Genomic DNA, 2,324 nt, shown 5'->3' with positions numbered 1-2,324 from the left:
TTTCTGGGTTCACTATTCTCTTCCACTGGTGTCTATATCTGTTTTTATGCCAGTACCATGTTGTTTTGGTTACTGCAGCTCTGTAGTATAATTTAAAGTCAGGTAATGTGATTTCTTCAGTTTTGTATTTTGCTCAGGATGGCTTTTGCTATTCTGGAACATTTTTGGTTACATATAAATTTTATTTTTTTTTCCCTTTTTGCAAATTATGTAATTGGTATTTTGATAGAAATAGTGTTTAACCTGTAGATTGCTTTGGGTAGTATTGATTTTTTTTTTTTTTTTTTTTTTTGACAGTTGGCAGAGCTAGCTGAGGTTTTATTTTGTAAAAAAACAAAAAACCAATTGAATTGTTATGTAGCTGGAGGCATGGGCAAGGGGGGTACCCCAGGCAGGAACTCCCCCAACGGGTGGGCTGAAGTCCAGGGCTGAGCCTTAGGTGGGTCTTCTCTTCCCTGTGCTCCCCTACACAGCAGCCTCCCTCCCGGGCTCTGGGGCAGCCAGCCGCAGGAGGGATAGTCTGGGAGGGGCTGCCATTGCTGTTCACTTGGGGAGGACGTCAGAGGACTCAGACACCAGCTTCCCATCGAGGGTCTCCATCTTCTTCACAACCATGGCCCTGGTGGAGCTGGTGCGGTTGAAGGAGATGAAGCCCGCCCAAGAGTCAAAGCTGGAGCCCAGGACGTAGCTGAGGCCGGGGCTTGTGAGGCCCCCATAGGTCGAGCTCAGCCCATCTGCCTAGCCGCTGGTGGTCTTCGTATGGGTACTTATGTTCTGCATCCCACACTCCAGCCAGCTCTCCTTGCCCTCCAGCAGCTTCCTGTAGGAGGCGATCTGGACGTCCAGGGCCAGCCTGAAGTTTATCAGCTCCTGGTACTCCTGCAGCTGCCTCGCTGCGTCCTGCTTGGCCTGCTACACGGCGGCCTCCAGCTCGGACAGCTTGGTGTTGGCATTGTTAAGGGCCAGCTCCCCATGCTGCTCGAAATCTGCCGTGGCAGCCTCCGGGGAAGCCCTCTGGCCTTTGAGGCCCTCAGTCTCAGCCTGGAGCCCGCTGATGTTCCTGTTCATCTTGGAGATCTCAGTCTTTGTATGCTGCAGGTCATCCCTGTGCTTCTCTGCCAGCATCTGCAGATCCTCATACTTGATCTGGTGCATGCTCTCAGCCTCAGCCCGGCTGCAGTTGGCAAGCTCCTCGTACTGCCCCTTGACTTCAGCAATGATGCCGTCCATGTCTGGGGGAGGCTGTTGTCAATGGATAGCACCACCGATGTGTCTGAGATCTGAGACTGCAGCTCCCAGATCTCCTCTTCAGACAGCTGCCTGAGGAAGCTGATCTCATCAGTCAGCCGTTCCAGGTGAGACTCTATCTCCACTTTGTTCGTGTAAGCTTCATCCACATCCTTCTCGATGAGGACAAATTCATTCTCCATCTTTGTAAGCTTATTGATCTCATCCTGGTACTTGTTCTTGAAGTCCTCCACCAGCCCCTGCATGTTGCCAAGCCCTGCCTTCAGCTTCAGCTTCTCCTGGCCCAGTCTCCAACTGCTGCCGAAGGTTGATGTAGCTGTTGAACATGTTGTCCATGTTGCTCCGAGGCATCTTCTGTGCTGCAGGCTCCACTTAGTCTCCAGCATCTTGTTCTGCTGCTCCTTGTTGATGAAGGAGGCAAACTTGTTGTTGAGGGTCTTGATCTGCTTCTTCTCCTGGGTGCGCATGGCCTGGATGTTGGGGTCCACCTCCAGGTTAAGAGGGCTCAGCAGGCTCTGGTTGACGGTGACAGTGGTGATGCTTCCCATACCACAGGACCTGCCATAGCCTCTGCCCAGGCCACCCGGGAAGCTGCTGCTGACCACTCGGGAGAAGCTCGAGGAGCTGATGCAGGCACCGGACTCACTCTTGTAGGAGCAGCTGCTGAAGGCCCGGGGGCCGGAGGTGGACACCTTGTAGGACTTCTGGGTCACCCTCATGGACATGGTGGAGGCAGGAGTGGAGGCAGGCAGGCTGAACCAGGCATAGATTCCAGAAGGAGAGGAGAAGCTGCTTCTTGGTCAGTACTGTCATTTTAATAATATTGATTCTTCTAATCAATGAACATAGAAGATTTTCTGATTATTTGTGTTGTATCTGCGTTTTACAGTTCTCCTTGTAGAGCTCTTTTATCTCCTTGGTTAGATGTATTCCTAGGTATTTCTTTTTTTTTCTAGTTATTGCAAATAAAATTTTATTCTTCATTTGGCTTTGAGAATTGACATTAGTGGTGCATAGAAATTCTACTAATTTTTGTACATTGATTTAGTGTCCTGAAGCTGTACTAAAACTGTTGA

General features: G+C 50.2%; 1 pseudogene; it reads right to left on the bottom strand.

Annotated features, from left to right (window-relative positions):
- On the bottom strand, positions 298-2,060 carry KRT8P21 (keratin 8 pseudogene 21; annotated as a pseudogene).

Source organism: Homo sapiens, chromosome 1, assembly GCF_000001405.40.
Source record: "Homo sapiens chromosome 1, GRCh38.p14 Primary Assembly".
In the NCBI taxonomy this organism is placed as follows: Eukaryota; Metazoa; Chordata; class Mammalia; order Primates; family Hominidae; genus Homo; species Homo sapiens.
Note: the sequence above shows the minus strand (reverse complement) of the source record. Positions and strands in the feature narration are given on the sequence as shown.